Genomic DNA, 27,411 nt, shown 5'->3' with positions numbered 1-27,411 from the left:
AGGACTAGAGGAGACAAGGGGTCGCGCGCAGCGTCTGACAGGCAGGGGGCACCCAGAAAGGGTCCCCGCCATTTCTATTGGATTCTGACGTCACGCCAGAGCGACTCCCCATGCGTCGCTGCACTGGCCTCGGCCTCCCGGCGCCGCGGCTGGTCTTAGTGCTCCCCCTAGACCTGCACATGCACAGGTGTGGCGCCCCCCCGGGCCCCGGACGAGGACGCCCTCTTAGCTTCTGGCCCGGTCCCCCGCCCCACTTCCTTGGAGAAGCCGGAACCCCGCCTACTGACCGTCCGCGCCGCGGAGGCTTCTGGGAATTGTAGTTCTGGCTCTCCGAGCCCAAGTGCACTTCCGGGTTCGGCCACAAGAGCAGCCATTGTCCCGCGCGCGGACGCTTGCTGTCGCCGAGCAGCTCGGCCCTTCAGACTTAACCCCCAGCGGCCTTGCGGATGCTGACTAGGAGAGGGGACCGAACTAGCTTAACCCGAGTCGGCCGTGTTGCAGAATCGGGGCAGGGGGTTGCCTAACCCGAGTTCGTCCTGCCGCAGAGCCGTGCTAGGCACTGAGGCGGTGACAGGCCCAGCCTGGGCTGCGGGCCAGCGGACGCCCAGGTTGGTAGGGGCGTGGGGCAGCGCTTGGTGTCCGATGCGCGCATGCGCAGGGTCTACGCGGGAAGCTGGAAGCGGTGGTGAGTGTAGCGGGGAGACCTGGTATCTGTGCGGGTGGCGCTTTAGCCTCGGGTCACCGGGGTTGATGGAGTTACTGATACAGCTGTATATTCCGCGACTGTCCTCTGCGTGCATGCGCGGGTGCTTGGTCAGGTGGTGCTCTTGTCTGGGGCCTGAGGATGCCCAGGTTGCTGGAACACAGGGCACATGCATTGATGTAAGGGGACATCTTGAGAACTCCCCTCCTCCAATGCCGGGCTTATTTAGTGGAGGCCTGAGGATGTCCGGGTTGATGGAGTGCTCCATTGCAGATTGTGGTTTCTGGAGAGGAGGGGCTGTGCCACTGTCCCTTTACTCTTGATCAGGTATTTGGGTAGGAAGCAAAAGGTTGTAGGTAAGATTCCGAGCAGGTGGCTCTGGGCCCCTAGAGCAGACAACGCGCTTCTCCAAGGTCTGGGGGCGCTGTGGTTGGTGGAGAGACCAGATTGGAGTTGCAGATTCTTGTGCCAGAAGAGGCAGTGTTGCTAGTGAACCCTTGGTGGGAATTACCCATGGGCAGCAAACTCCCAGGCTGAAGGAGGGTATCAGGGCCTAGAAACAGGTTCTGGGCAGAGGGCCCCCTGCACGTCCTGGGGGTGTCTGAATGGAAAACAGAAACTTGAACTGATAGTAGGGACCTATGTAGGATAGTGCAGAGCTCTAGAGCATTCAAGATGGGCAGAGACTCCGGGTTGGAGATACAGAATTTAAGTCCAGGAAGGACAGAGCTGCAACAGCTGCCATCAAATTGGTAGCTGGGGAGGAAGCAGTATGTTGCCAGCATCGTTATGAAGCAGGTGTTGCTGAGACCTTTACTTGGGTACGCTATTTGCAGGCGTGAGAATGTGCAGGTTAGTAGAGGGACAGAGCCTGTGCTGCAGATTTGGTCCCGGGAAGAGCTGACTGCACAACACCCAGGCCGTCATGATTGGGCAAGAGAAGGACAAAGGGCCCAGTTCCCATTGAGCTGCTGTATCGTAGGCTCGAGAACCCCCACGCTGGCGAGTGCCCAAGTCCTGGGGCTGATTATGGAGCTGTATGCTCAAGCTACTGTTTAGTTGTTGTAGTGTCCTGGCTGCGGGCAAATAGTGGGGCAGTTGACCCCAGAACCTACACAGAGGCTGTGGGTACCTGAGATGTCCCAGGCAGGTTGAGACACAGGGTGAGGGATGTAGATTGTTGACTCAGGAGCATGGTGTGCCCCCAGACGGGCAGAGGAGCCAGGTCCTGGATGCAGATTGTGAGCACGAACCTGCTCTGTGGCTGTATCAGTAGGAGGGAGTCTAGGTGGGTGGCCCGTGTGCAGTGGCTGTGGAATAGAGGCCTGGGGGCTCCAGTTTGGATCTGGTCTTAGGAGGCACGGGGCTGCTCCAGCAACACTCTGCACGTGTGCTGGCATTTGGGCAGATTGGGGAGGCATGGGCAGTCCTAGGACCCTGATTCTGCCTGAGGATGCCCAGGTGTGTGGGGGGGAGCAGCTGCAGAGGGGCGGGACTGTGTCAGGCACCCCTTGTGCACACACACCGGTGTTTGGTTGGGAAACAGGAGGCCGGAGATGAGTTTTAGACAGAGGGTGCTGGGGTCTTTGTGTGATTGGAACCCTGATCACAGCCTGATGGTGCCCAGTTTGGTGGAAAGACAGGATCTTCCTGAGCCACAGGTGCCCCCGAAAGATGTTTGGTCAGAATCTGGGCAGGTGTGGCTCAAGCAGGGGGCTGTGGAGTAAGGTGGAGGAAACAGTTTGGGTGCAATTTCAGGAAACAGCTGCATTGTGAACCTACGCTATGCTGCGTGAGAATATGGTGGGAGCAGGGGAGAGAGTAAGTGGGAGAGATGGAGTGCAGAGGGTGGGGTGCCTAGGGTAGGATTTGCCCTCTAGTCTTGGATCCCAAAACACCTAGTTGGTACAGAGGCACCTGAGCTTCTGAGACATGTATTTAGAGCCTGGGTAGGGCTGCTTTTGTCTGGCTTGTGCTGGTGTCTGTTGGAGGCCCCCAGCCCTATGCAGGCCTTGTTGTAGTTTCAGGCCTGAGTATACCCAAGTTGGTGGAGGGACTGGTTTAGAGCTACAAATTCAGGGCCTGGGAGGGTGTTAGGGTGGGAATCTGGCTGGTGCTGTTCGAGTAGGAGCCAGTGGACCCCAGAAGTGTGGAGGGAACAGGATGTGGGTATAGCTGAGCTCTGTGCATAAATGCTTGGCTATTTGAGCAGGATGTGGGTGGCCCTCTGTGCTGAGTTGCTGGAGGGACAGGTCTGGCTGATGGAACGGTAGGATCAGTCTTAGTTGTTGAATCAGTTCCTGGGAGCAGTGGAGCTGTGTCACCAGCTTCATGCAGTTAGGCAGTGAGTGTGATTCTGGCCCTAGGAAGAAGTGCTGGTTTGGGGCTGTAGATTGAGGTTGGTAGGGGTAGGATGGGGTGAACACCAGGGGGTCCTCAATATGCCTGATATTTGTGGGGATCCCAGGGCCCAGTGAATAGGAGAGGGATGGACTGGTGCTGCAGACTTTGGTGGTGGGCAGAAGGCCATGTTGGGCACAAGCTGGGCTTACAGGTAGATGGTCCAGGGGCCCAAGATGGTGGAGGAACCAGGTTGGAGCTGCAGAAACTTGACCTGGGAGAGGGACTGAGGGACTCTCAGTACATACACAGGTATTTGGGCAGGAAGCTGGCAGGAACCTCCAGAAGTGCATTTGCTATGGGAATGCATCCTGCATCCTGGGAGCAGGGGCTAATGGGGGTGGGGGGCCCAGCGGTTCCGGCAGACCTACATCTTCATGCTGTACTTGGGGCTTCTCTCAGTGCAGCTCAGGACCTCAGCACCCTGCTGTGCCTGGAGGAGAGCATGGAAGAGCAGGATGAGAAGCCCCCAGAGCCCCCGAAGGTCTGTGCACAGGTGAGTGGAGACCCAGAGCTTGGGTCTGTCTGCAGCCTGACCCTCTCAGCTTGGGAGGCTGTGGCTCCTCCCTGACTCTCTTTGCAGCCTTTTAGGGGGTTTGAGGCCCTCATGGCCATCAGGCTTCTAACACTTACTATATATTTTATGAATCTCCCTGCTAGTTGCCTCACCTTTTTAGCCCAGATAACTCTTTCTGGAAGGAATTTGGCATCCTGAATCAAAAGCCCTTAAAATGCTGATTCCCTTTTGGCCAGCAATTCACAGCTTTGAGAATGAACAATTGGAAATATACTAAATGTGCAATGTAAGAGGATAGCTGAATGAATTACGATAAGACCATGAAATAGAATACACTGTAGCCATTGAAACTGATGATAATGCAAATTTAATGACAGAAAAAGTTATTTATTACCTATGTTAAGTAAATTGCACTTAGAAATCATCACTTTTTAAAAAGAGATATAGTTTTTGGGTATATAGAAAATATGTTAGAAGACTATAAATATAGCAATCAGTTAACAAACATTATCTGTAGTTGTTTTATCATTTATTTATCTGTATTTTCTTTTTCTTTTCTTTCTTCTTTTTTTTTTTTTTTTTTTTTTTTTGAGACAGAGTCTTGCTCTGTCGTCCAGGTTGGAGTGCAGTGACACAATCCTAGCTCACTGCCGCCTCAAACTTCTGGGCTCAAGCCATCCTCCTGCCTCAGCCGCCTGAATAGGTGGGACTACAGGTGGGCACCACCAAGCCTGGCTTATATTTTTTGTGTGTGTGTATTTTAAAAATTTTTTGTAGAAACGATATCTCACTATGTTTTCCAGGCTGGTCTCGAACTCCTGGCTTCAAGCCATCCTCCCACCTCAACTTCCCAAAGTGCTAGGATTACAGATATAAGCTACCACACCTGGCTTGTATTTTCATATTTTTGTACAGTACACTTTAAGGTAAAAATATTGACAATTGGCCAAGCACAGTGGTTCACACCTATAATCCCAGTACTTTGGGAGGCCGAGGTGGGAGGATTGCTTGAGGCCAGGAGTACAGGACCAGCCTGGGCAACATAGTGAGACCCTGTCTCTATAAAAAATTTTAAAAATTAGCCAGGATAGTGGTGTCCACCTATAGTCCCAGATACTTGAGTGGGTGAGGTGGGAGGATCGCCTGAGCCCAGGAGGTCTAGGATGTAGTAAGCTATGATTGTGTCACTGCACTGCAGCCTGGACAACAGAGTGAGACTCTGTCTCTAAAAAACAAGTTAACAATTTAGAACATTTCCCACCGCAAATATTCTTTGAAAACTCTTAATTTCTTAAAACTGTTAAATTAGAGCTTCTCCTTTCTCTTCCTGAACAAGTCAGCCTTGAAGCCGTGAGGTGGGGCAGTGTTAGGGGGCACCTACAGTTGTCAGGACTGCCTGCTGTGAAGAGAGTGTCCATGTGCAGGGTGTCAGTGACCAAGCAGGGTGAGGAGTGCATCTGCACAGGATGACATCCCAGCATAGTCAGAGCCCAAGTGGAATGAAGAAGTCGCTTGTGCACGTGGTGCAGCCCAATGTGGGTGTCAGAGCCCAAGTGGCTGAGGCCAGTGTCCATATATGGAGATCTGGTGTGGGGTGATGGGGTCAGAGCAGGTGAGCAAGGCATCCAGAGAGGGGGTGCTTCATTGTGGGTAGTTGGAGCCCAAGTGCAGTGAGCAGGTGTCCATGGTAGATGGGGTGTTGGAGCCAGAGTGGGGTGAGATGTGCACCTGTGTTGGGGGTCAGGTGCAGCCTGGTGTGGCATGTCAGAGCATGAGCATGTTGAGGGCATCATGCGTGAGGGTGGCCTGCAGGGGTGTCAGAGCCCAGCGGCATGTGGAGGGTACTGACACAGTGGGGTGGCCTGACGTGGGCTGTCCAAGTCCAAGTGGCAGAGGAGTGAGTCTGAGAGATGGGGCAGCCTAGCCCGGGGAGTCAAAGCCTAAGCAGGGTGAGGAGCTCCCCTGGGCAGAGGGTGGCCGAGTGTGGGGTGGCAGAGCCCAGGGAGTCTGGGAAAGCATCCATAGGGAGAGGGCGTCATTGTGGAAATGGGAGAGGAACTACCTACAGGGGGCTAGATCAGATAAGTAAGTGTATATATAAGGGACTGGAGCCAGGCGCCTTGCCATCAAATCAGGGAGGTACAGATACGGCAAGAAAGAACATTTGAGTGGACTCTGGTGTGCAGTGGGAATTGGAGGTTTTATTGTGGGCTCATGGTTTTCAGTACACATTAATCTAGAAATATATAGAGATGTGTGCTTGTATCGGTGTGCGTATGTGTGCACACAGATTCCCTGTCTGTCCGCGGAGGGCTGGGAGCAGTGACATCCTAATACCACTACGCATACCTAGTGCCCACATTTCACCTTCTAAATATGTTACAGGTTTTATGGGTTTATTGTTAATGGCTCTTTAGTGTTACATTTTTTTGCTGTTACAAATAGCATTGATATAAATGTTTTGTATGGGATTCCATGTATACATGTGCAATTGTTTTAGAAAGAGTTAAGCAAATATAAGTTTACATTTATATCTTTATCAAAACTACAGGTAAAATGTGTGGGGTTTTGTTATTTTGTTGTTTTTTAAGAGACAGGGTCTCACTCTGTCACCCAGTCTGGAGTACATGGCACACCAGCATAGATCACTGCAGCCTGGAATTTCTGCGCTCAAGTGATCCTCCCACCTCAACCTCCTGAGTATTTGGGACTACAGGTGCACACCACCACGCCCAGCTAATTTTTTTATTTTTTACTTTTTGTAGAGACAGGGTCTCGCTGTGTTGCTCAGGCTGGTCTCGAACTCCTGGGATCATGCCATCCTCCCACCTTGGCCTCCCAAAGTGCCGGGATTACGGGGTGAGCCGCAGTGCCTGGCTGGTAGAATGTGTTTTGATGTGGTCATTGGTGTTCTAATTTAAGCGAGGCACTAGGTGTTTTCTGGGACTCTTAATGGTCCTTTTACCATTTTCTTTTTTGTGAGCTGAATTAGAAGTCTGTTCATTATATGACTTTTGTCACATATTTATTGACTGCCTAACCAGTGTAAGGCCCTGTGCAAAGCACTGTGGGGAAAGATGAGACAGACAGCACTGCCCTGCACGACTTAGTTCTCACAACCAGAAACGCGCTTCTTATACTTTCCAAGGCTACATAGGGAAAGCAAAAACATCCTGTTTGTTGTATTAGTTATCTGTTATTACATACCCCAAAATTTTGCAGCTTAAAATAGCCAATGTTTATTTCGTCACACAATTTCTGAGGGTCAGGAATCCAGGTCAGCTTAACTGGTTGTTTCTGGTGCTCAGGGTCCCTGATGAGGTTGCAGGCAAGTTGTTGTCTGGGCTGCTGACTTCTGAAGGCTTGACTAGGTGGGAGGATATTGTTGCAAACTCACTCAGATGGCTGTTGGCAAGAGGTGCTGTACACCAGAGAGGCCTCTTTCCAGGGCGTTCACAGCATAGCAGTGGATTTCTGCCAGAGCAGGTGATCCCAGTGAGAGAGAGAGAGAGAGCAAGAGCACTTAGTTGCACACAATCAAGATGAAGCCACAATGTCTTTTATCATCTGATTTCAGAAGTGACACACCATCACTTCTTCCATATTCTGTTGGTCACACAGACCCACCTTGGTACCATTGGTCAAGGACTACACAAAGGCATGAATACTAGGTAGTAAGGGTCTTTGGGAGCCATCTCAGAGTCTGGCTACCACACTTCTCAACTCTGAATGTCCTCTAGTTAATTTTAATTATTATCAGAAGATGAACAAGTACTTGATTTGGACCTGAAGGATATTAGAACCCTGGAAGGGAGAGAAAAATCAAGGGAGCCAAAGTCTTTGCTTTGAACGAAGGCCACGAGTCCAGTGAGCTGATCTAGGAAGAAACCATCTGGGTATTGGGGCATCACCTTAGAGATTTTAGTGGCTCATACACAGGAAGTAGCAGCTGGTCCAGCGAAGGCCTTGAGCCAACTCTGAGCCCTACCTGCCTTCAGGGACTGAGACCAAAACTGCTGCCAAGTAGGTGGTAGAATCTCACCCATCCACTGTCATTCTCAACATTCGAAGTTGTGCAGGTTGTTGGTGGCCCTATGTGGATGGTCTATTCTGTGTATTTCAGGACAGTGAGAATTATTCATGGATGATAAGGTGGGGCAGGAGAGGGAATTTTCTTGTGCGTGAGGACTAAAGGGATCCTCTTGTCAGGATGATTTCTGAGAAAATCAGGGAAGGGAACCTTCTTTCCAGTGCTGTAGTTTGTGAATATTGGTTTTACGCCTTCTAGATTTGGTGATTAAGAAACCTCAGGGCCTCCCACATGGGCCCTGTGGACGCCATATCCCTTGAGCTGAAATGTGAGCTCCACCTTCCAGCTCCCAGGGCAGGAAGAGATGGAAACACACCAAGAAGTCTGCCTGTGTGACGCCTGTGTTTTCTAAATGTTCTCACAGATATAGAGGGTTTCCTGCCAGTAGACCCCCAAAGCAAAGCTCTGAGAATTGAGTCCAGTAATATTTCTGTGATTTGATTAGAAACTTCATTTTATTGCCCCAAGAATACCTCAGATTGGGAAAGGAATATTTGGTCATCTCTATTTATAGGTGAGCAAATAGCCCTAGCCCTAGGTCTGATTTGACCACTGTCTTACTATGAAGCGGACAGGTCACTCCATGATAGCTCTGCTTGTCTCTTTCCCCCTGCTTTGGTTCCCATGGGGTCCCACATACATTACAGAAGGAACAATTATTATCTCCTGCCCACAACCCTTTTCTCTGTGCAAGTCAACAGTCTAATTCCTGTTCCCATTTCGTAAAGTCTGCAAAGAAAAAGGGAAATGCTCCTTTATGACCTAGAGAGGTGACTGTTGAACAAGAGGGTAATTTAAAGATGCTCCAGAGCATACAGAAAGTAGAGTAAAAGTTTTTAATTCTATTCCTATGTCCCAAACTCTGCACGTGTCTCTAGTCTTGTCAAATGCAGAGAACTTTTATTGTGCTCCTACTCAATACTGAGGAGAATACAAAGATAAAAAATACACAGTGCTTTCTAATATAGAACCCAGGACCCAGGGGAGAGGTATATAGAAATGGTAGTAATATGAAGAGAATAATTTTACTGGTATAGTAAAGGGCCACCAAAGCTAAGAAGTCCTGAGAGAAGAAGAGATGAAGCTTTCTGCTATCTGGGAACGCTTCATGGAGGAGGTGGCATTTGATCTGGGCCTTGGGTGATTAGACAGACTTTGGTAAGACAGTGGGAAGCAGAAGAGTTTGTGTCAGGCAATCAGTGGACTTAAATGAGCTTACTAAACCTTATTACCATTAATTTCTGCATTGGTGAAATAGAATAGACATATTACTCTTTTCTTCAAAAAAAAGTTTAGGCCAGGTAAAGTGGCTCACACCTGTAATCCCAGCACTTTGGGGGACCAGCATGGGAGGATCACTTGAGGCCAGGAGTTCAAGACCAGCCTGAGCAACATAGTGAAACTCCCACCTCTACAAAAAATAAAAACAAAAAAATTAGCCAGCTGTGGTGGCGTGCCTCTGTAGTCCCAGCTTCTTGGGAGGCTGAGACAGTAGGATAGCTTGAGCCCAGGAGTTCAAGACTATAGTAGGCTATGATGGTGCCACTGCACTCCAGCTTAGGCAACAAAATGAGACCCTAGCTCTTAAAAAAAAAGTTTAGATGATTTTGTGAGATGGAAATTCTGTGTTGAAGTACTCTATGTATTACTAAAAATACTAGGCAAATGATAGATTACATTGACATTATCTGAAGGAAACTGAGGGAGCTAAGATGTAAATTCAGGAGATATTCCTAAAATGGTCAGTAATCCAAAGTGAGTAGAACCTGGGGAAAAATTCAGGGTGTGTGGGTGTGCATGCATGCACGGGCTCACATGCATTTGTTGCAAGCTTGTTTCTGAGCATTTAGTTTGTAAGAGTAAGTTGGGAGCAGGTTCTGGATACTGACACTTTGAATTTTCTGCAAAGAAAAGGCACCCAACAAAGGTTTCCTCTAACCAAGGGAGGGGCTTGAGCTCAGCTTTGCTTTAGTGCCTCCAGGGACCCCAGGGACAAATGCAAAGTTACAGGTAGCACATTCCATGTCCCTTCTCCTAGTGGCTGTTTATAGTCAGCATACATTTATGAAGAGCCTGCTATGTGTCAGTAGTGATCTAAGCATGGTGGAGTCACGGTAAACAGGACAGACAAGATCTCAGCTCTTATGAAACTCACTCTAGTGGAAGAGTTAAATAAAAAGCCAAAGGTAGAAGAATATATGTGATGTGAAGATATGAAAGCAGGGTAAAGTGATAGAGTTGACTGCTGGGGTCAGGGCAAGGAAGGACATTTCATCCAGAGTCTACCTTGAGGAAAGATGAGCTTTCTTTTGTTTTCTTGTGAAAACTTTTAAACAAAAAGGTGCTAAAAACAGTTTGCATTCAAGAGGAGGTGCAACCATATTCTGCAAGTATAATAGTTTTAGCAGTTATGGCAGATAGTGACATTTTGGAATTTTGTTTCTGCCAAGTACCTGCTGAGAAAAACATTAAGTTGTCCAATTCTTGGTATTATTTCTTAACTGATATTAGCTTTTTTTTTTTAATTAACAGAGTGTGATATTATCTGAAGGAGTTTGTAATAACTTAAAATACAGGTTAGCATTTACAAATTTTCCTTTCTTGAGTAACTTTTCTCATTTCCCAGGCATTTTTTTAAGAAAAGATGTATTTGTCACGGGTGTATATCAGGAATGTAATTTTTCTTTCAGGCCAGATAAGATTGAATCCATTAACAGTTTGGGGTCAAAACTTGTGGCTCCCTTGTACCATCTGTAGTTTGGTTGTGGCTATTTTTTGGCATTGTGAGTTTTATTTTTGTTTTCTGGCATTTTGGGCTATTTTGTAATGTTCATGCAGCAATTTCAAGGCAGTTTAGGCCAGTTGTGGTGACTCACGCCTGTAATCCCACTTTGGGAGGCTGAGGCAAGAGGACTGCTTAAGAACAGTAGTTTTTTTTGTATTGTCTTTTCTCTTTGTTTTCTCTTTTTCCTTCCATCCTCCCTCCCTCCCTCCCTCCCTCCCTCCCTTCTCCTATTTCCTTTTTCCCTTTCTTTCCCTTCCCTTCCCTTCCCTCTTTCTTTCCCTTCCTTTCGCTCTTTCCCTTCCCTTCCCTCTTTCTTTCCCTTCCTTTCCCTCTTTCCCTTCCCTTCCCTCTTTCTTTCCTGTCTTTTTCTTTCTTTTCTTTTCTTTCTTTCTTGCTTTTTCTTTCTTTCTTTCTTTCTTTTCTTTCTTTCTTTTCCCTCTTTCTTTCCTGTCTTTCTCTCTCTCTTTCTTTCTTTTTCTTTTCTCTCTTTCTTTCTCTCTCTCTCTCTTTCTCTCTCTTTCTTTCTTGTTCTTCTCTTCTCATCTCTTCTCTTCTTTTCTTTCTTTTCTTTCGGTCAAGTTTATTTATTTATTTATTTATTTTTTCCCATTTCTAAATTTTTCTTTTTTTTTTCTTTTTTTCTTTTTTTTTTATTGATCATTCTTGGGTGTTTCTCGCAGAGGGGGATTTGGCAGGGTCATAGGACAATAGTGGAGGGAAGGTCAGCAGATAAACAAGTGAACAAAGGTCTCTGGTTTTCCTAGGCAGAGGACCCTGCGGCCTTCCACAGCGTTTGTGTCCCTGGGTACTTGAGATTAGGGAGTGGTGACGACTCTTAACGAGCATGCTGCCTTCAAGCATCTGTTTAACAAAGCACATCTTGCACCGCCCTTAATCCATTTAACCCTGAGTGGACACAGCACATGTTTCAGAGAGCACAGGGTTGGGGGTAAGATCATAGATCAACAGGATCCCAAGGCAGAAGAATTTTTCTTAGTACAGAACAAAATGAAAAGTCTCCCATGTCTACTTCTTTCTACACAGACACAGCAACCATCCGATTTCTCAATCTTTTCCCCACCTTTCCCCCTTTTCTATTCCACAAAACCGCCATTGTCATCATGGCCCGTTCTCAATGAGCTGTTGGGTACACCTCCCAGACGGGGTGGTGGCCGGGCAGAGGCGCCCCTCACCTCCCAGACGGGGCGGCTGGCCCGGCGGGGGGCTGGCCCCCCCACCTCCCTCCCGGACGGGGCGGCTGGCCGGGCGGGAGGCTGGCCCCCCCACCTCCCTCCCGGACGGGGCGGCTGGCCGGGCGGGGGCTGACCCCCACCTCCCTCCCGGACGGGGTGGCTGCCGGGCGGAGACGCTACTCACTTCCCAGACAGGGTGGCTGCCGGGCGGAGGGGCTCCTCACTTCTCAGACGGGGCGGCTGCCGGGCGGAGGGGCTCCTCACTTCTCAGACGGGGCGGTTGCCAGGCAGAGGGTCTCCTCACTTCTCAGATGGGGCGACCGGGCAGAGATGCTCCTCACCTCCCAGACGGGGTTGCGGCCGGGCAGAGGTGCTCCTCACTTCCTAGATGGGATGGCCGCCGGGCAGAGACGCTCCTCACTTTCCAGACTGGGCAGCCAGGCAGAGGGGCTCCTCACATCCCAGACAATGGGCAGCCAGGCAGAGACGCTCCTCACTTCCCAGACGGGGTGGCAGCTGGGCAGAGGCTGCAATCTTGGCACTTTGGGAGGCCAAGGCAGGCAGCTGGGAGGTGGAGGTTGTAGCGAGCCGAGATCACGCCACTGCACTCCAGCCTGGGCACCATTGAGCACTGAGTGAACGAGACTCCGTCTGCAATCCCAGCACCTTGGGAGGCCGAGGCTGGCGGATCACTCAGGTTAGGAGCTGGAGACCAGCCCGGCCAACACAGCGAAACCCCGTCTCCACCAAAAAAATACGAAAACCAGTCAGGCGTGGCGGCGCACGCCTGCAATCGCGGGCACTCGGCAGGCTGAGGCAGGAGAATCAGGCAGGGAGGTTGCAGTGAGCCGAGATGGCAGCAGTACAGTCCAGCTTCGGCTCGGCATCAGAGGGAGACCGTGGAAAGAGAGGGAGAGGGAGACCGTGGAAAGAGAGGGAGAGGGAGACCGTGGAAAGAGAGGGAGAGGGAGAGGGAGACCGTGGAAAGAGAGGGAGAGGGAGACCGTGGAAAGAGAAGGAGAGGGAGACCGTGGAAAGAGAGGGAGAGGGAGACCGTGGAAAGAGAAGGAGAGGGAGACCGTGGAAAGAGAGGGAGAGGGAGACCGTGGGGAGAGGGAGAGGGAGAGGGCAAGGGCGAGGGCGAGGGCGTCAAGTTTATTTTTAAAAGTAGTCTGGGCACGGTGGCTCACGCCTGTAATCCCAGCACTTTGGGAGGCCAGTGTGGGCAGATCACAAGGTCAAGAGGTCAAGACCATCCTGGCCAACATGGTGAAACCCCATCTCTACAAAAAATACAAAAATTAGCTGGGCGTGGTGATGTGCGCCTGTAGTCCCAGCTACTTAGGAGGCTGAGGCAGGAGAGTCACTTGAACCCCGGAGGTGGAGGTTGCAGTGAGTTGAGATCATGCCACTGCACTCCAGCCTGGGGACAGCGCGAGACTCTGTCTCAAAACCAAAACCAAAACAAACAAACAAACAAAAAAGTAAAAGAATAAGGAATGGCTACTCCATAAGCAGAGCAGCCCCAGGGGCTTCTGGTTGCCCATTTTTATGGTTATTTCTTGATTTTCTGCTAAACAAGGGGTGGATTATTCATGAGTTTTCCAGGACTGGGGTGGGCAATTCCCAGAACTGAGGGTTCCTCTCCTTTTTAGACCATAGAGGGTAACTTCCTGACAAAACTGTCATGGCGCTGAGACCAGCAGTTTGAGACCAGTCTGGGCAACATGACGAGACCCTGTCTTCTACAAAAAATAAAAAGGCAGTTTAACTGTTGTAGTATGTGTGGTAGTAATGCAAGCAACACAACCTCTTGGCTTTCACATTGGGCCTTCTTTACATTGCAGCAGCTCTGGCTCTTTGATACTTATTGTGAACCTCACAACCTACCCAGTAAATATACAGTGGTGTTTTTAGGTTTGGAGAATCCTTTCCTACCTTTAAATACATTAATGCTAGCCATTTTTAATAACCATTCCTACTGTAATAGTAAAATATTTTCTAGATAGATAAGGAGAAAAAATTGACACACTTATACCTTGACCTCTCCACATCAAGTGATCCTCCCATCTTTGCCTCCCAAGTAGCTGGGACTGTAGGCACATACCACCGTGCCTGGCTTATTTATTTATTTATTTATTTATTATTTTTTGAGATGGAGTCTCACTCTCTTGCCCAGGCTGGAGTGAAGTGGCATGGTCTCAGCTTGCTGCAAACTCCAACTTCCGGTTCAGGTGATTCTCATGCCTTAGCCTCCCAAGTAGCTGGGACTACAGGTATACCACACCTAGCTAATTTGTATTTTTTTGTATTTTTAGTAGAGATGGGGTTTCGCCATGTTGACCAGGCTGGTCTCGAACTCCTGAGTTCAGGCAATCTGCCCACCTCGGCCTCCCAAAGTGCTAGAATTACAGGTGTGAGCCACCATGCCCGGCCTATTTTATATATTTTGTATAGACAGGGGAGCCTCACTGTGTTGCTGAGGCTGGGCTCGAACTCCTGGGCTCAAGTGATCCTTCCACCTCAGCCTCCCAAAGCACTGTGATTACAGGTATGAACTGCTGCACCTGGCCACTTTTATTTTCTTTTAGTTTTTGATCCAATGGCTTCTAAAGAAATGAGTTATCAAAAATTAGCAGTAGTTGCTTTTCAGTGTTTGATTTGAGGAGGAGCAAAGTATCCTTGAATGGGCTATCATTTAACAGACTGAATTATTGTATCCTGTAGGAAAAAACCTGAGGACACTACAAAGGAATTGCGTTGTTTCAAGGTGATTTTTAAAGAGGGAAGCACCTTTCCTGGTTTCCAAATATTTAATTAAAATAAGTGGTTTTGAAAAACATGGATGCAGCATTAAAAGAGAGACAGTGAACCTGCTCCTCAGTTCTACCCCTTCAAAGAATAACTCCTTTTAATGCTTTTGAGAACATCTTTCCAGATTTTTCCGTGCATATTTATATTTTATAGAAATCTATTCATCTTCTGTATAATGTTCTTCATTTTTTCACTCAGCAATATATTATAGACATCTTTCTATTATTTATATGTATCGGTACATGCAAATTTATTTCTTCTCTTGGCTGCTAAATAATATTCAGTCATCTGAATAAAGCATAATTTATTTAACCAGGCACTTCCTAGTGGACATTTAGTCTCCCTTCCCATCTTGCTATGATAATGTAACTTGCTAATGAGGTTTCTTGTATATGCATCCTGATGTACTTTATGTTATTTCCTAAGGATAAGTACTTACAAGTAGACTTAATGGATGTTACATTACACTTTTAAAAATATTGCCTTTAAAAAAACAAAAATAAAAGAATGTACATAAAAATGGAATAAACTCTGTACATGAATTAATAATATTGTACCAAAATTTCAATTTCCTGGTTTTGACAATGTACTGTCATTATATATGATATTACCAGGGAAAGCTGAGTGTGGCTCTATTTTTGCTACTTCTTGTGAATCTTTAAGGATTTCAAAATAAAGCAGTATTTGTAAATACAGATATTTAATATATAGCCAATACAGGAGGGTTGTATCAATTTATACTTCTTCTAAGAATATATGAAGCTCTTGGCCAGTGGGCTGCCAGAGCTGGAGTCATTAGCAACAGACTAATGACTGTGACTGTCACAAAAACACCCGACGTGGTCAGGATGTTGGTTATGTACAGGGCTTGAGCAAATAAGTAAATATAAAGAGGAAAATGGGAGCCAGAGAAAGAAAGTATACATAAAGAAAGGAGAAAAGCTAGACAGAATAAAATGTGTTATTGAATTGTAATTGGAGGTATCCATGTGAACTTATGGTCTCTAATATATACAGATAAAGAAACAGATGTTTGATTTTGATGTAAAGAGGCGAGCATCTGTTTGTATATTCACAGCAGTTTCTTCATAGTTGCATGTGCATTTTTCTTTGTCAGTTGAGGCTACCTTTTACTGATTTGGAAGAAGTCTTAATAGTATAGATTCTTATTGATCATGTGGCACCTTTTGCTAGACTTTTTTTTTTTTTTTTTTTTTTTTGAGATGGAGTCTTGCTCTGTTGCCTAGGCTGGAGTACAGTGGCATGATCTTGGATCACTGCAACCTCCACCTCCTGTGTTCAAGTGATTCTCCTGCCTCAGCCTCCCAAGTAGCTGGGACTACAGGTGCGTGTCACCATGCCCGGCCAGTTTTTGTATATTTAGTAGAGACGGGGTTTCACCATGTTGGCCAGGCTGGTCTCAAACTCCTGACCTCAAGTGAACTGCCTGCCTCAGCCTTCCAAAGTATTGGGATTACAGGTGTAAGCCACCGCACCCGGCCTGCTAAACATCTTATGAAATTAATTTGTTGATCTTTTTCTTTATGATTCTGGCATTGGTTATGCTGTATTCCATTTTATTTGCTTATAATTTTGTGACCCAGGAATTTTGGCAGGTCCCGCTGGACAGTTCTTAGCGTCTTAGTGCTCCTTAGTGTCTTGGATCACTCAGTCAGCTGCATTTAGCTGCAATGGGCTGGCCCAGAAGACCCAAAAAGACCTCATGTCCAGGTATCTGTGGGCCTTGGTGCTCCTCCATGTATCTCCTCTCTCTCTCCACATGGTTAGCGGAGCTTACCACTAGGAGGAGGGAGGAGAAATATGGTGGGAGGGATGCGTTAAAATAGGTGGTATGTCAAATCTTAGCCCACTGACCGGAGGAGATTTGAGCTGCCACTTAGCTCCCTGATTATTTTCCTTTTTCTCATCTGTTTTGCCTTTTCAGGATTCTTTCCTTCCTCAAGAGATTATCATCAAAGTCGAGGGAGAAGACACTGGGTCTCTGACCATCCCATCTCAGGTAGGTTGGGCAAGGCCTCTGTCTTTACACTGAGAAATGTGCATGGCTGGGAAGTGAGTAGAAAGTGAGGAAATAGGCCGGGCGCGGTGGCTGCCAGCACTTTGGGAGGCTGAGGCGGGCAGATCATGAGGTCAGGAGATCGAGACCATCCTGGCTAACACGGTGAAACCCCGTCTCTACTAAAAAAATACAAAAAAAGTTAGCTGGGTGTGGTGGCGGGTGCCTGTAGTCTCAGCTACTCGGGAGGCTGAGGCAGGAGAATGGTGTGAACCTGGGAGGCAGAGCTTGCAGTGAGCCGAGATTGCGCCACTGCACTTCAGCCTGGGCGACAGAGTGAGACTCCATCTCAAAAAAAAAAAAAAAAAGAAAGAAAGAAAGTGAGGAAATGGAGACAAAAGTGGACAACTTTTTCAAGAAGTTTGGTTATTGTGTGGAAGGTAGAAGAAAGTGAAAACTTCAAGGACTTTTGAGATTGAGGGTTTTTTTTAAAGGGATTGAAAATATTCAATTCAGTTTAAATGATTACAGGAAGGAGTTAGTAGAGGAAAAAAAGTTATTCATCAGGCAACAAGAGAGAAACTATAAAGCACAGTCCTTGGTTAGCACCAGAGAAATTAATTCAGAACATCTTGAATAAATTAGCTCTATATGAGGAGAAGGATTTATATAGGAACAGTGAGGTTGAGGGAATTATTTGAAAGCTTGATCTTTCACTGCGAAAAATCAGATGAGCATGATGGTGGGAATTGGAATGGAGAGATGTATGACAAGGGTAGAGAAGGCTTAAAATAGCAATTTTGGATTATGAGAGGAAACAGGCTGCTCCAGTAAATGTAATAGGATTGCTGGTCAATCTGAAAGTTTCATTCAGAGATAGTGGCCATTAATTTATAATACTCTATCCTGCTGCTTTTGTGGATTTTTCCCTGCAGTGGCAATTTGTAGCCCACTTTCCACAGATAGCAGATTGACATTCAGATTCATTTAGTTTTTGTAATTTGCCAGGTCCACTTCCTATGGAGTGGACACTCCAAAGGTCAAGGGAATACTTGAAAGAGAATTTAAAAATACGTCAAGTAGAAAGATTAAAAAGAATGATCCATGAACCTTAAATTGAGTAATTAATATGGAAGTGATAAAGAGCCCACTAAGTAGAAATGAAAAAGAATATAGGCTGGTAGTGGTAATAGTAGACATTTCGGTAGCATAATGGCCTTAAACTTTCAAGGAACAAGAGTAAAGGGAAAAAACTGAGCCAATACAGTGGAGCAATCTGACATTGTAGTGAAACGTGGGCAGTTTTGTATTTGTGATTCAAAAGGTGGAGTGTTTTATGACAATTTCAAGGTCTGGGGTGTCCCCCGAAGAATGAGCTGATGAAGAGCAGCTTCAGAATATGAGACTTGGGTTAGCCATATGAACTGATGACTGAGAACACAGTCATCAATGTGCAAGCTTGAGGTTTTATCCCTCTACTACTAACCTTAGGCATATGTCTTAATTTCTCTGACTCCCTTGGTCTTCATAAGAAAAAAATAATACTGCTAATAGTGTTTTCTCACAGGAGCCCTTTGAGAATTAAATGAATAATCCATATGACATGTTAGCACAATGCCTGGCACCATGGTGGTGCTTCATGCAAACTCATAAGTGCTTCATTAAAGTCAGTTATTTTTATATTCTCATCAGCTGACTATACAAGTGGATGCTATAGACAATATGAGATAAGACACTACAAGTTCTTATATTAGAGGATAAATCCCAAGTATGAATCTTCAGTGAATGGGGTGGGGGTGGTGTTCAGGAGGTGGGTAGGACAGAGCTCCAAGAAGTGAGGTAAATGGCATGAGTTTCAGAGTAACTGGGAGGACATGCACTCCTTCTTTGATGCTGAGATCTAGGATGGGAGAGTATGAGCATTCTTAGCCTCTGAGGACTGAGGAGGAGGGAAGTCATCAGCAGGAAGTATAAGTCTCCATTAACACAGGGATGTATAGGGAATGTTTGGTGAAGGATACTGAAACTGCAATATTTTATTGTTATTATGATTTTGAGACAGGGTCTCACTCCAGTTACCCAGGCTGGACTGCAATGGTGTGATCATGGCTCACTGCAGCCTTGAATTCCGAGGCTCAGGTGATTCTCCAAACCTCAGCCTCCTGAGTAGCTGGGACTATAGGCATGCACCAGCACACCTGGCTAATTTTTTGTGTTTTTAGTAGAGACAGGGTTTCACCATGTTGCCCAGGCTGGTCTTGAATTCCTGGGCTGAAATGATCCACCCACCTCAGTCTCCCAAAGTGCTGGGATTATAGGCATGAGCCGCCCTACCCATCCTATTTTATTGTTACAAAAGATGAGTTTCAAGGGCAGTTGAAGATTTTGGGAAGGAGTTTTCAGGCATGAGGAATTTGGGACAAGTGAGAAGAATAGAATAAGTGGGATAGAAGTCCAGAAAAGCTAGTATCTGCACATTGAGGGGCCTTTTCAAATGGGTATGTGGTACAGCTTGTGAGATTCAGGTGAGGGGGGATGACTTAAATCAATTTGGGTGAGGGTTATTTTGATATCTTATAAGGTTTATTGATAGTGTTCATTCACTTACTGAAATAATTTGTGAAATATAAATGTAATATCTACTATATATAAACACTATGCTAAGCATTGGAGTTACATTTGCAAACTGTAAATACTTGTCCCTGCCTTCATGGATCATGGCCTAGTGACAGAGATGACCATTCTGCAAATAAGAAAGTGTGATTATAGAAGTCCATGGAACTTTGAGAATATATAGTTGGGAGTGGAGTGGGGGTGCTAATCTAGTTTAGTATTATCTGTTTGACATTTGAACAAGCTTTATACTAAAGAGACCTATATTACACAGAAAGGGGGAGTGTTTATTAAAAAGAAGCATGCATTACAGATTGAAAGACAATACCTTAAAGATTAATGTTAAATACAGGCAGCAGTTGGCGAGTTATTTTTTGAATTTCACGTTGGGCTAATCATGAAAACATTTGAGGTTTCAGTGAAATTTTTAGGCTCAAACTTAGAGGCATATACAGCAGTATTTTGCATGTGCTTTCATGGCATTCAGGACCCTGTATCCTATTCATGAACTGCAGCTCAAGAATGCCTGGTCTATTTAAAGAGCCTTTAGTGGCAAGAGGCATTCGACTTCCCCTTGCCTTTGCTGTGCCTGGGTAAGGACAGATCACCCTTAGCACTTCTCTTTTGGATTAAAATTCCTGCCCAGTTATCTTAAGAACAGGCCCTTTCCTGCTTAGAGGAGGCAGCCCAAGAGACCCCATTTATATGGCAGTAATAACAGCAAACGTCTCCTAAAAGGCTCTGCCATGCAGCTGGATATGGATAGAAACAGAACTGTTATTTGAAGACTGAGAGTTCAGAATAAAGGTCACTTTGGCTCTCAGTTAATCTTTGAGGATCCTGAGACCTACTAATCATAACAGTACAGGCTAAGCACCCCTAATCCAAAAATCTGAAATTGTCCAAAATTGGAAGGTTTTGGAGCCCCAGCATAATGCCACAAGTGGAAAATTCTACACTTGACCTCATGCGACCACTCATAGTCAAAACAGTCAAAACTGTTTCATACACAAAATTTTTTTAAAAATTGCATAAAATTACCATTAGGCTATATGTTTAAGGTGTATATGAAACATAAATGAATTTGTGTTTAGACTTGGATCCCATCTTCAAGGCATCTCATGTAAATGCAAATATTTCAAAATCTGAAATCCAAAATTCTTCCAGTCCTAAGTATTTTAGCTATGGGATACTCAGCCTGTAATTGCTGGCCTTCGTTGTTTCATCAGTAAACTCTGCTAGTGGCTTTTCATAGATCATCGTAATTATTCATTCAACCCAATGATTTAGGTATTATTAGGCCTAATAAATAGAAATGGAATAAACTCGCCAGGGAAAGACAATTGGGTCAGGTGTGGTGGCTCATCCCTGTAATTCCAGCACTGTGGGAGTCTGAGATGGGAAGATTCCTTGAACACAGGAGTCTGAGACCAGCCTAAGCAATATATTGAGGGTCTGTCTCTACAAAATTTTAAAAATTAGCCAAGCACGGTGATGCACACCTGTAGTCCCAGCTACTTGGGAGACTAGGTGGGAGGATCACTTGAGCCCAGAAGATGGAGGCTGCAGTGAGCCATGATTGTGCCACTGTACTCCAGCCTGGGCAACAGAGTGAGGTCTTGTCTCAAAAGAAAAAAAAAGGACAGATTGTCAGATTAGATGTATTTCTTAAGCAGATATATGCCCTTTATAGGTGAGAAAGCCAAGTCTTTGTATCTTCTACATCCAGTGTTCTTCACCTATACATACTGCTTTTCATCGAGGTCCACATTTCATTTTCTGTCTCATGCATTAGCAAAGTACAGCCTGTGGCTGTTTTTGTAAATAAAGATCTATTGTAATGTAGCCACACCCATTTGTTTATATATTTTCTGTGGCTAATTTCTTGCTATAGCAGCAGAGTTGAGTAGTGTGATAGAGACTGTATGGCTGGCAAAGTGTGAAATATTTACTATCTGGCCTTTGACAGAAAAAAATCAACCACCCCTGTTTCATTAATTTCTTGGGAATTTAGAGGGAATTCCTAAGTGGGAATTCTATATTCACCAGTGCAAAAGTCAGAATAAGCATCCTTTTTAAGGCAGACAAAATAAAATAGTTTATATCAGTTCTTATCTGGTATTCCTCTTTGGAGTTGTAAAAACAGGTCCAGCATCCAAAACCCAAAGAGCTCACCCAGAAGGCACCTGTACATCTTGACTGGAATCTTTTGGGCACTGACAATTTAAGGACAACTCCCAGGTCACCAATTTTCCTTTTTCCATCTGTCAGACTTTTCCTCCTCCATGAACTTTGGAAGGAAATGATGCCCAGCTGAGCAGGAATGTGTGTCCTTTTTTAGGAAGGAGTGAACTTCAAAATTGTGACTGTGGACTTCACACGGGAGGAACAGGGTACTTGCAACCCTGCTCAGAGGACCCTGGACAGAGATGTGATCCTGGAGAACCACAGGGACCTAGTCTCTTGGGGTAAGAATACACTCCTCTTTAATGAAGATCCATCTACTGAAATGATTTCACATTCTGATCGATTAAGAACTGTGAAATTCAGCAGCCAGAATGATTTTGGCTGCATCTAGATTGTGTTTGTGCTCTTTATTCCCCAGTGAAGATTAATTTTAGTTTGTAGGGTAGAAATAGTGCAGATTCTTGGGCTTGAGATTTTCAGTCTTCATGTTCCTAAAGACCAAAGGCCAGGACCAGATTCTGCAGTAATTTTCTTTTGTCCCCAGCTTTGAAAACTCAAATTCCTGTATCTTTCCTTGTCAGCTTTTTGAAGCAGATACAATCTCCTAGTTGGAGCAAGGGAAAGAATATAAAAAGAATTTTCCAATACATGTGTTCAAGTGAGAACCAGACACATAGGGGTCATTACAGGTGTAGAAGGTCCATTTGAAAAAATCCGCATAGAAGATGCCACATTTTTTCTTCATTTCCCACCTCCTGGTGGACTGTATACATGACTACTTTTTCCATATATACTCTCTATTGCTTGACCTAGTAGCCACCCAGGCTACTAGGAGCAAACTTCTAGTCTCTCTCAGTTGGAATCACAGAAATTTGTGGGGCTTTATTGGTTCCTAAGGTAGTTAGGGAACTGGATAATAATGCCCCATTCCTTTTCTTTTGTTCACAAACATAGTTTCCTCATGCCTCACTGACACAGAGTAGAGTATTTAGCAAGTTTTATGCCTTCAGAAATTCCTGGATATGTAGACACTAATCTCTTAGTGAACATCTGTGTAGCACTAAAGAGTGGAAAAGACTCTCTATACATATTGCAAAATTGGGTTGCAATTCTGTAGGTTCTATGTAGATGATCTTATTTTGGAATATGCAGGTATTTGACATCCAGAGTCTTATTTATTCAGACTAAGATTAAACCAAGATTACAATAGTTCCATTTTAATGCTCTGTTGTAATATTGGGCTGTGGTAGTTCTGTACTTAATACTTTATCTCACCCTTTTGCTTTTTCAACCTAGGTTATCGGTCAGTATTTGAAAACAAATTCATATATATTTTTCATACTTTCTTGTTAGCTTTATTCCATTTTTCCATCTCTAATATTTTTTGACTAAGATGTCTTATATTGCTTTCTTTCAGACTTGGCAACTGCAGTTGGAAAAAAAGATTCAACTTCAAAGCAGAGGATTTTTGATGAAGAACCAGCTAATGGAGTGAAGATAGAAAGGTTTACAAGGGATGATCCTTGGTTATCTTCATGTGAAGAAGTGGATGATTGTAAAGACCAGTTGGAGAAGCAACAGGAAAAACAAGAGATACTTTTGCAGGAAGTGGCATTCACTCAAAGGAAAGCAGTTATTCATGAGAGAGTCTGCAAAAGTGATGAAACTGGGGAGAAGAGTGGTCTGAATTCCAGTCTATTTTCATCCCCAGTTATACCCATAAGAAACCATTTTCATAAACATGTATCACATGCTAAAAAATGGCATCTTAATGCTGCTGTAAACAGTCATCAGAAGATTAATGAGAATGAGACACTATATGAAAATAATGAATGTGGAAAACCCCCTCAGAGCATTCACCTTATTCAGTTTACAAGAACTCAAACAAAAGATAAATCCTATGGATTTAGTGACCGTATTCAATCTTTTTGCCATGGTACACCCCTACATATACATGAAAAAATTCATGGAGGAGGAAAAACCTTTGATTTTAAAGAATGTGGGCAGGTTTTGAACCCCAAAATATCCCATAATGAACAACAGAGAATTCCTTTTGAAGAGAGTCAATATAAATGTAGTGAAACCTCTCATAGTTCCTCCCTTACTCAAAACATGAGAAATAATTCTGAAGAGAAACCTTTTGAATGTAATCAGTGTGGGAAATCCTTCAGCTGGAGCTCGCATCTTGTTGCACATCAGAGAACTCACACAGGGGAGAAACCTTATGAATGTAGTGAATGTGGAAAATCCTTCAGCCGGAGCTCGCACCTTGTTTCCCATCAGAGAACTCATACTGGAGAGAAACCTTACAGGTGTAATCAATGTGGGAAATCCTTTAGCCAGAGTTATGTCCTTGTTGTGCATCAAAGAACTCATACTGGGGAGAAGCCTTATGAATGCAATCAGTGTGGAAAGTCATTCAGGCAGAGCTATAAACTTATTGCACATCAAAGAACACATACCGGAGAGAAGCCCTATGAATGTAATCAATGTGGGAAATCATTTATCCAGAGCTATAAACTTATTGCACATCAAAGAATTCATACTGGGGAAAAACCCTATGAATGCAATCAGTGTGGGAAATCCTTTAGTCAAAGTTATAAACTTGTTGCTCATCAGAGAACTCACACAGGAGAAAAACCCTTTGAATGTAATCAGTGTGGGAAATCCTTCAGCTGGAGCTCTCAGCTTGTTGCACATCAAAGAACTCACACTGGAGAGAAACCGTATGAATGTAGTGAATGTGGAAAATCTTTTAACCGCAGTTCTCACCTTGTTATGCATCAGAGAATTCACACTGGGGAAAAACCGTATGAATGTAATCAGTGTGGGAAATCCTTCAGCCAGAGTTATGTTCTTGTTGTACATCAGAGAACTCATACTGGAGAAAAGCCCTATGAATGCAGTCAATGTGGGAAGTCCTTCAGACAGAGTTCATGCCTTACTCAACATCAGAGAACTCATACTGGAGAGAAACCATTTGAATGTAATCAGTGTGGAAAAACATTTAGCTTGAGTGCTCGACTTATTGTGCATCAAAGAACTCATACTGGAGAGAAACCCTTTACATGTATTCAGTGTGGAAAAGCTTTCATTAATAGCTATAAACTTATTAGGCATCAGGCAACTCATACTGAAGAGAAACTCTATGAATGTAACTAGTTTGTAAATCAGCTGGGATTTCTTCCTTTTTATTTCATTCTTTTAAAAAATTTATTTTAAGGTAGTACATGTAGTTGGAAGAACTACTATAAAAACAATATATGTGGGAAAACTTCCAGCCCTCTGTTAATTGTGTGTCTCAAATTTGTTCTGGAAAAGAAAGGGGGAAAGTCTATGAACGACTTTTCAACCTGGCAATTCCATATACAATGTTAAACTTGATTCTTATGACATATTCCTATGAAAATAATAAATACTGGCACTTTTCCTTGCAGAAAGCACTCAGACCTGAATCAGAGAAAATCATATGCCAAAGCCAACTGCCAGTGTTAGACCTCTTTTTCCATAAAGAGTAAATGGAATGCTAACACTAGTGGGCTTATTGAGAAAATTTAAAGGTTGCTGTAGTGTTTAGAACTTAGGCTGGAAAACCATATTTTAGTGCATCATTTTACTACATGATCTTCCAATTAGATAGCTTGTAATCTGTTCCTTACAGCACTTGCTGTTGTTACATGTGAAGATTTTATAAATTTTAGGAAAGTGTCTATGATATATAGTGAAAAGTGTGGGAAAAGAATATAGAAATAATATTCACTTCTAAAACCATTATGATAAAATATTTGTGTATGGATTAGAATAGAAAGGGATTATGGATGTATCTATTCAATTTCTCAGTTTATGTTGGGCCTTCCTTTTTGGAATGTACGCTGTTATGCTATGATAAATGATATAATGAGTAAAAATTATTCAAAGCCAAAAATGAAATACAAAGATTTCCTTCTTTGACTATTTAGGAAAGACTAAGCAACCAAATAGCAAAGATCCCTCAGGATAATGAGGTTTATGTTTGGAATAGCATGAGCAGATTACTACTTAGGACATAGATTCCTAGGAACATTCCTCATTGAAAATAAAATGGATTCCTGGAAATAGGTAACTAGAAATTTTGGCCAGAAATGGTTTCATATGAAGAACTGAGAATGCGTGGGAAGTATAGAGGGCAAGTGGGCTTATTTTCATATATGCAAAGCAATATTAAGGAACTCTATTTTCATGTTTTAGTTCTTCCCCTCATGTAGCATTGTCTCTTTCCTCTGGGATATGTTCCCTGATGTGAGAGTCCTCTGAATAGAAGGGTGCTTCCCTGGCTCAGTGCTGACCGTCTAAATTATGCTTGCAAAAATGCTTTCATGAGGCAAAGTTTTAGTTACTCTTTGATATTTAAGATTTGATTAACATGTCTTTCTGACCTTTCCCTTGAATCATGAATTTGAATCCTGTGGATGACCATATATTGAAGCCTCTGATCCCAGAAAGGTAATAAGCTGAAAGTTGAACTGAGAGACCAGATAATAGAGGTTAATACCCTTGGGATAGGAAAGAAAACTTAAAGGGTAACTGATGGGGTTATCCTTAGCAAAATTCTATCCCTATGAGATGACCCTAAGTGGAGCCATCTCTATGAGGATTAATCCAGAGATTGTTGCACACCTGGCAGTGTCAGGTCTGGGAAAACAGTTGCTGATGTTTTCATGGAGTGTGAAATACTGAAAGCTGCGGGCATCCCTTGGGGACCACTGACCCACACTTTGAAGAACCCTCAATGAGTCTGAAAGAGGTTCAGTATCTCTTGGGAAGGATGTGTTCCAGGCTCCAGGCCTAGTCTTACATGGCCAGTGGGGTTGAAAGACTGTGCCCCTGCAATGGTCTTTTCCTAAGACAGTTGAACAAAGTTCCAAGTCTGTCTGTCCTATTTTAACCATCTTTAAGAAGCACAAAGGGGATATGAGAAAAACAGATGCTGAAATGAAAATTTTAACTGATATCTTACTTATCTCACAAGTCGTGTAAAGAAAGAAATGATATGGTCGAATATTAGATTAGATGGTTTAATGATGTTTTGAGTGTTATATATGAGCTATGATGAGACCTAGAAAATAAAGTAAAAATAAAAAATATATAAGCCATGAACATTCTTCATATTCAGTGACAGTCTGCCTGCCACACCCAGGAATTACAGAGACACTCATAGACCTCACGGGATCCTCCCCTATGTCTCCCATCTCTTCACCACCAGCCCTCAGGGAGTCTCATGTCTCCCAATTACTCTCCAATCATTCCTAGATTTCTGTAACAGTCAGGCCCTGACACCCATGTAACAAGCAGAAACTCAGGGACCTCACAGGGCTCTGGCCCCATGTCTCCCAACTCTTTACTCCAGGCCCTCAGGTACTCTCCTGTGTCTCCCAGATTCTCTCAATCCCCAGCTTACTGCAACATTCAGCTTCCCAAACCCAAGTATCACCTATAGACAAAAATCTCAGGGCCCTCTTCTATCACGTCTCCCATCTCTTCACCTGCAACCCTCAGGGACTCTCCTGTGTCTCCCAGCTCCTCTCCAACCATCCCCAGATTTCTCCTTGGGTCAGCCCTGAACACACAGGAGTCACCCAGAAACTCATAGACCTCACTGTGCTCCTCCCTTATCTCTGTCACCTCTATACCACCATTCCTTAGGGCCTCATCTGTGTCTCCCAGCTATTCTCCAAGCATCCTCAGTTTTCTGCAAGAGTCACCCCTCAGCATTCAGGAGAACCCTAGAAATTCACAGAGCTCACCAGATTATTCCCCAACTACCTCCACCTACACAGCAATGGCTCCCACATACTCCCTGGGGGCCCCACACCTATCTTCCTTTACACTCAGAGACTCCCAGGGCCTCACAGTCACTCCCCATTATCATCATTCAGCTGTAAGTCCTTGCAAATCTCCTGGCCAACGTGATGCATTTACCTGCCCATTTCTCCACATTCCTGCTCAGGGTCCCACACCTAGCCGCAGAAGAGCCCCTTCCGCATTCCAGCCTCAAATACAGGCTTGTCCTTCTACTTCATACTGCCACACACTTGCCGGCAGAAGAGGCGCGT

At 44.7% G+C, this 27,411-nt stretch overlaps 1 protein-coding gene across 8 annotated transcripts, besides 8 other annotated features; it reads left to right on the top strand.

The window, feature by feature from the left end:
* Nucleotides 92-592: an enhancer, noted in NCBI's record as "H3K27ac hESC enhancer chr19:45004343-45004843 (GRCh37/hg19 assembly coordinates)". NCBI's record gives its function as "activates a minimal SCP1, AML or CMV promoter by ChIP-STARR-seq in naive H9 embryonic stem cells {active_cell/tissue: H9 hESC(naive)}" and the evidence as "EXISTENCE:reporter gene assay evidence [ECO:0000049][PMID:30033119]".
* Nucleotides 92-605: a biological region, named in NCBI's record as "H3K27ac hESC enhancer GRCh37_chr19:45004343-45004843".
* Nucleotides 132-426: an enhancer, noted in NCBI's record as "tiled region #2061; HepG2 Activating DNase matched - State 1:Tss, and K562 Activating DNase unmatched - State 1:Tss". NCBI's record gives its function as "activates a minimal TATA promoter and a strong SV40 promoter by Sharpr-MPRA in HepG2 and K562 cells {active_cell/tissue: HepG2 | K562}" and the evidence as "EXISTENCE:reporter gene assay evidence [ECO:0000049][PMID:27701403]".
* Nucleotides 266-475: an enhancer, noted in NCBI's record as "active region_14762". NCBI's record gives its function as "activates an Ori minimal core promoter by ATAC-STARR-seq in GM12878 lymphoblastoid cells {active_cell/tissue: GM12878}" and the evidence as "EXISTENCE:reporter gene assay evidence [ECO:0000049][PMID:35858748]".
* Nucleotides 361-26,452, top strand: ZNF180 (zinc finger protein 180). Of its 8 annotated transcripts, NM_001288760.3 has the most exons (7): nucleotides 361-608; nucleotides 3,506-3,599; nucleotides 4,218-4,335; nucleotides 16,107-16,233; nucleotides 16,448-16,522; nucleotides 21,474-21,600; nucleotides 22,737-26,440. In NM_001288760.3, the coding sequence occupies exon 7, from the start codon at nucleotides 23,432-23,434 to the stop codon at nucleotides 24,479-24,481; it is 1,050 nt and encodes a 349-aa protein (NP_001275689.1). In that variant the 5' UTR covers nucleotides 361-608; nucleotides 3,506-3,599; nucleotides 4,218-4,335; nucleotides 16,107-16,233; nucleotides 16,448-16,522; nucleotides 21,474-21,600; nucleotides 22,737-23,431; the 3' UTR covers nucleotides 24,482-26,440. The 8 variants fall into 8 exon arrangements, with proteins under 8 accessions (NP_001275689.1, NP_037388.3, NP_001275688.2 ...); NM_013256.7 differs by lacking the exons at nucleotides 4,218-4,335; nucleotides 16,107-16,233 and having other exon boundaries at nucleotides 361-685; nucleotides 3,511-3,599; nucleotides 22,737-26,452; NM_001288759.4 differs by lacking the exons at nucleotides 4,218-4,335; nucleotides 16,107-16,233 and having other exon boundaries at nucleotides 361-685; nucleotides 22,737-26,452.
* Nucleotides 486-545: an enhancer, noted in NCBI's record as "active region_14761". NCBI's record gives its function as "activates an Ori minimal core promoter by ATAC-STARR-seq in GM12878 lymphoblastoid cells {active_cell/tissue: GM12878}" and the evidence as "EXISTENCE:reporter gene assay evidence [ECO:0000049][PMID:35858748]".
* Nucleotides 556-605: an enhancer, noted in NCBI's record as "active region_14760". NCBI's record gives its function as "activates an Ori minimal core promoter by ATAC-STARR-seq in GM12878 lymphoblastoid cells {active_cell/tissue: GM12878}" and the evidence as "EXISTENCE:reporter gene assay evidence [ECO:0000049][PMID:35858748]".
* Nucleotides 593-1,091: an enhancer, noted in NCBI's record as "H3K27ac hESC enhancer chr19:45003842-45004342 (GRCh37/hg19 assembly coordinates)". NCBI's record gives its function as "activates a minimal SCP1, AML or CMV promoter by ChIP-STARR-seq in primed H9 embryonic stem cells {active_cell/tissue: H9 hESC(primed)}" and the evidence as "EXISTENCE:reporter gene assay evidence [ECO:0000049][PMID:30033119]".
* Nucleotides 23,505-23,705: a silencer, noted in NCBI's record as "peak3500 fragment used in MPRA reporter construct". NCBI's record gives its function as "represses an SCP1 promoter by STARR-seq MPRAs in K562 erythroleukemia cells {active_cell/tissue: K562}" and the evidence as "EXISTENCE:reporter gene assay evidence [ECO:0000049][PMID:32103011]".
* Nucleotides 26,453-27,411: the final 959 nt, after the last annotated feature.

Source organism: Homo sapiens, chromosome 19 (assembly GCF_000001405.40).
Source record: "Homo sapiens chromosome 19, GRCh38.p14 Primary Assembly".
Taxonomy (NCBI): Eukaryota; Metazoa; Chordata; class Mammalia; order Primates; family Hominidae; genus Homo; species Homo sapiens.
This window is presented reverse-complemented; position numbering and strand designations above follow the sequence as displayed.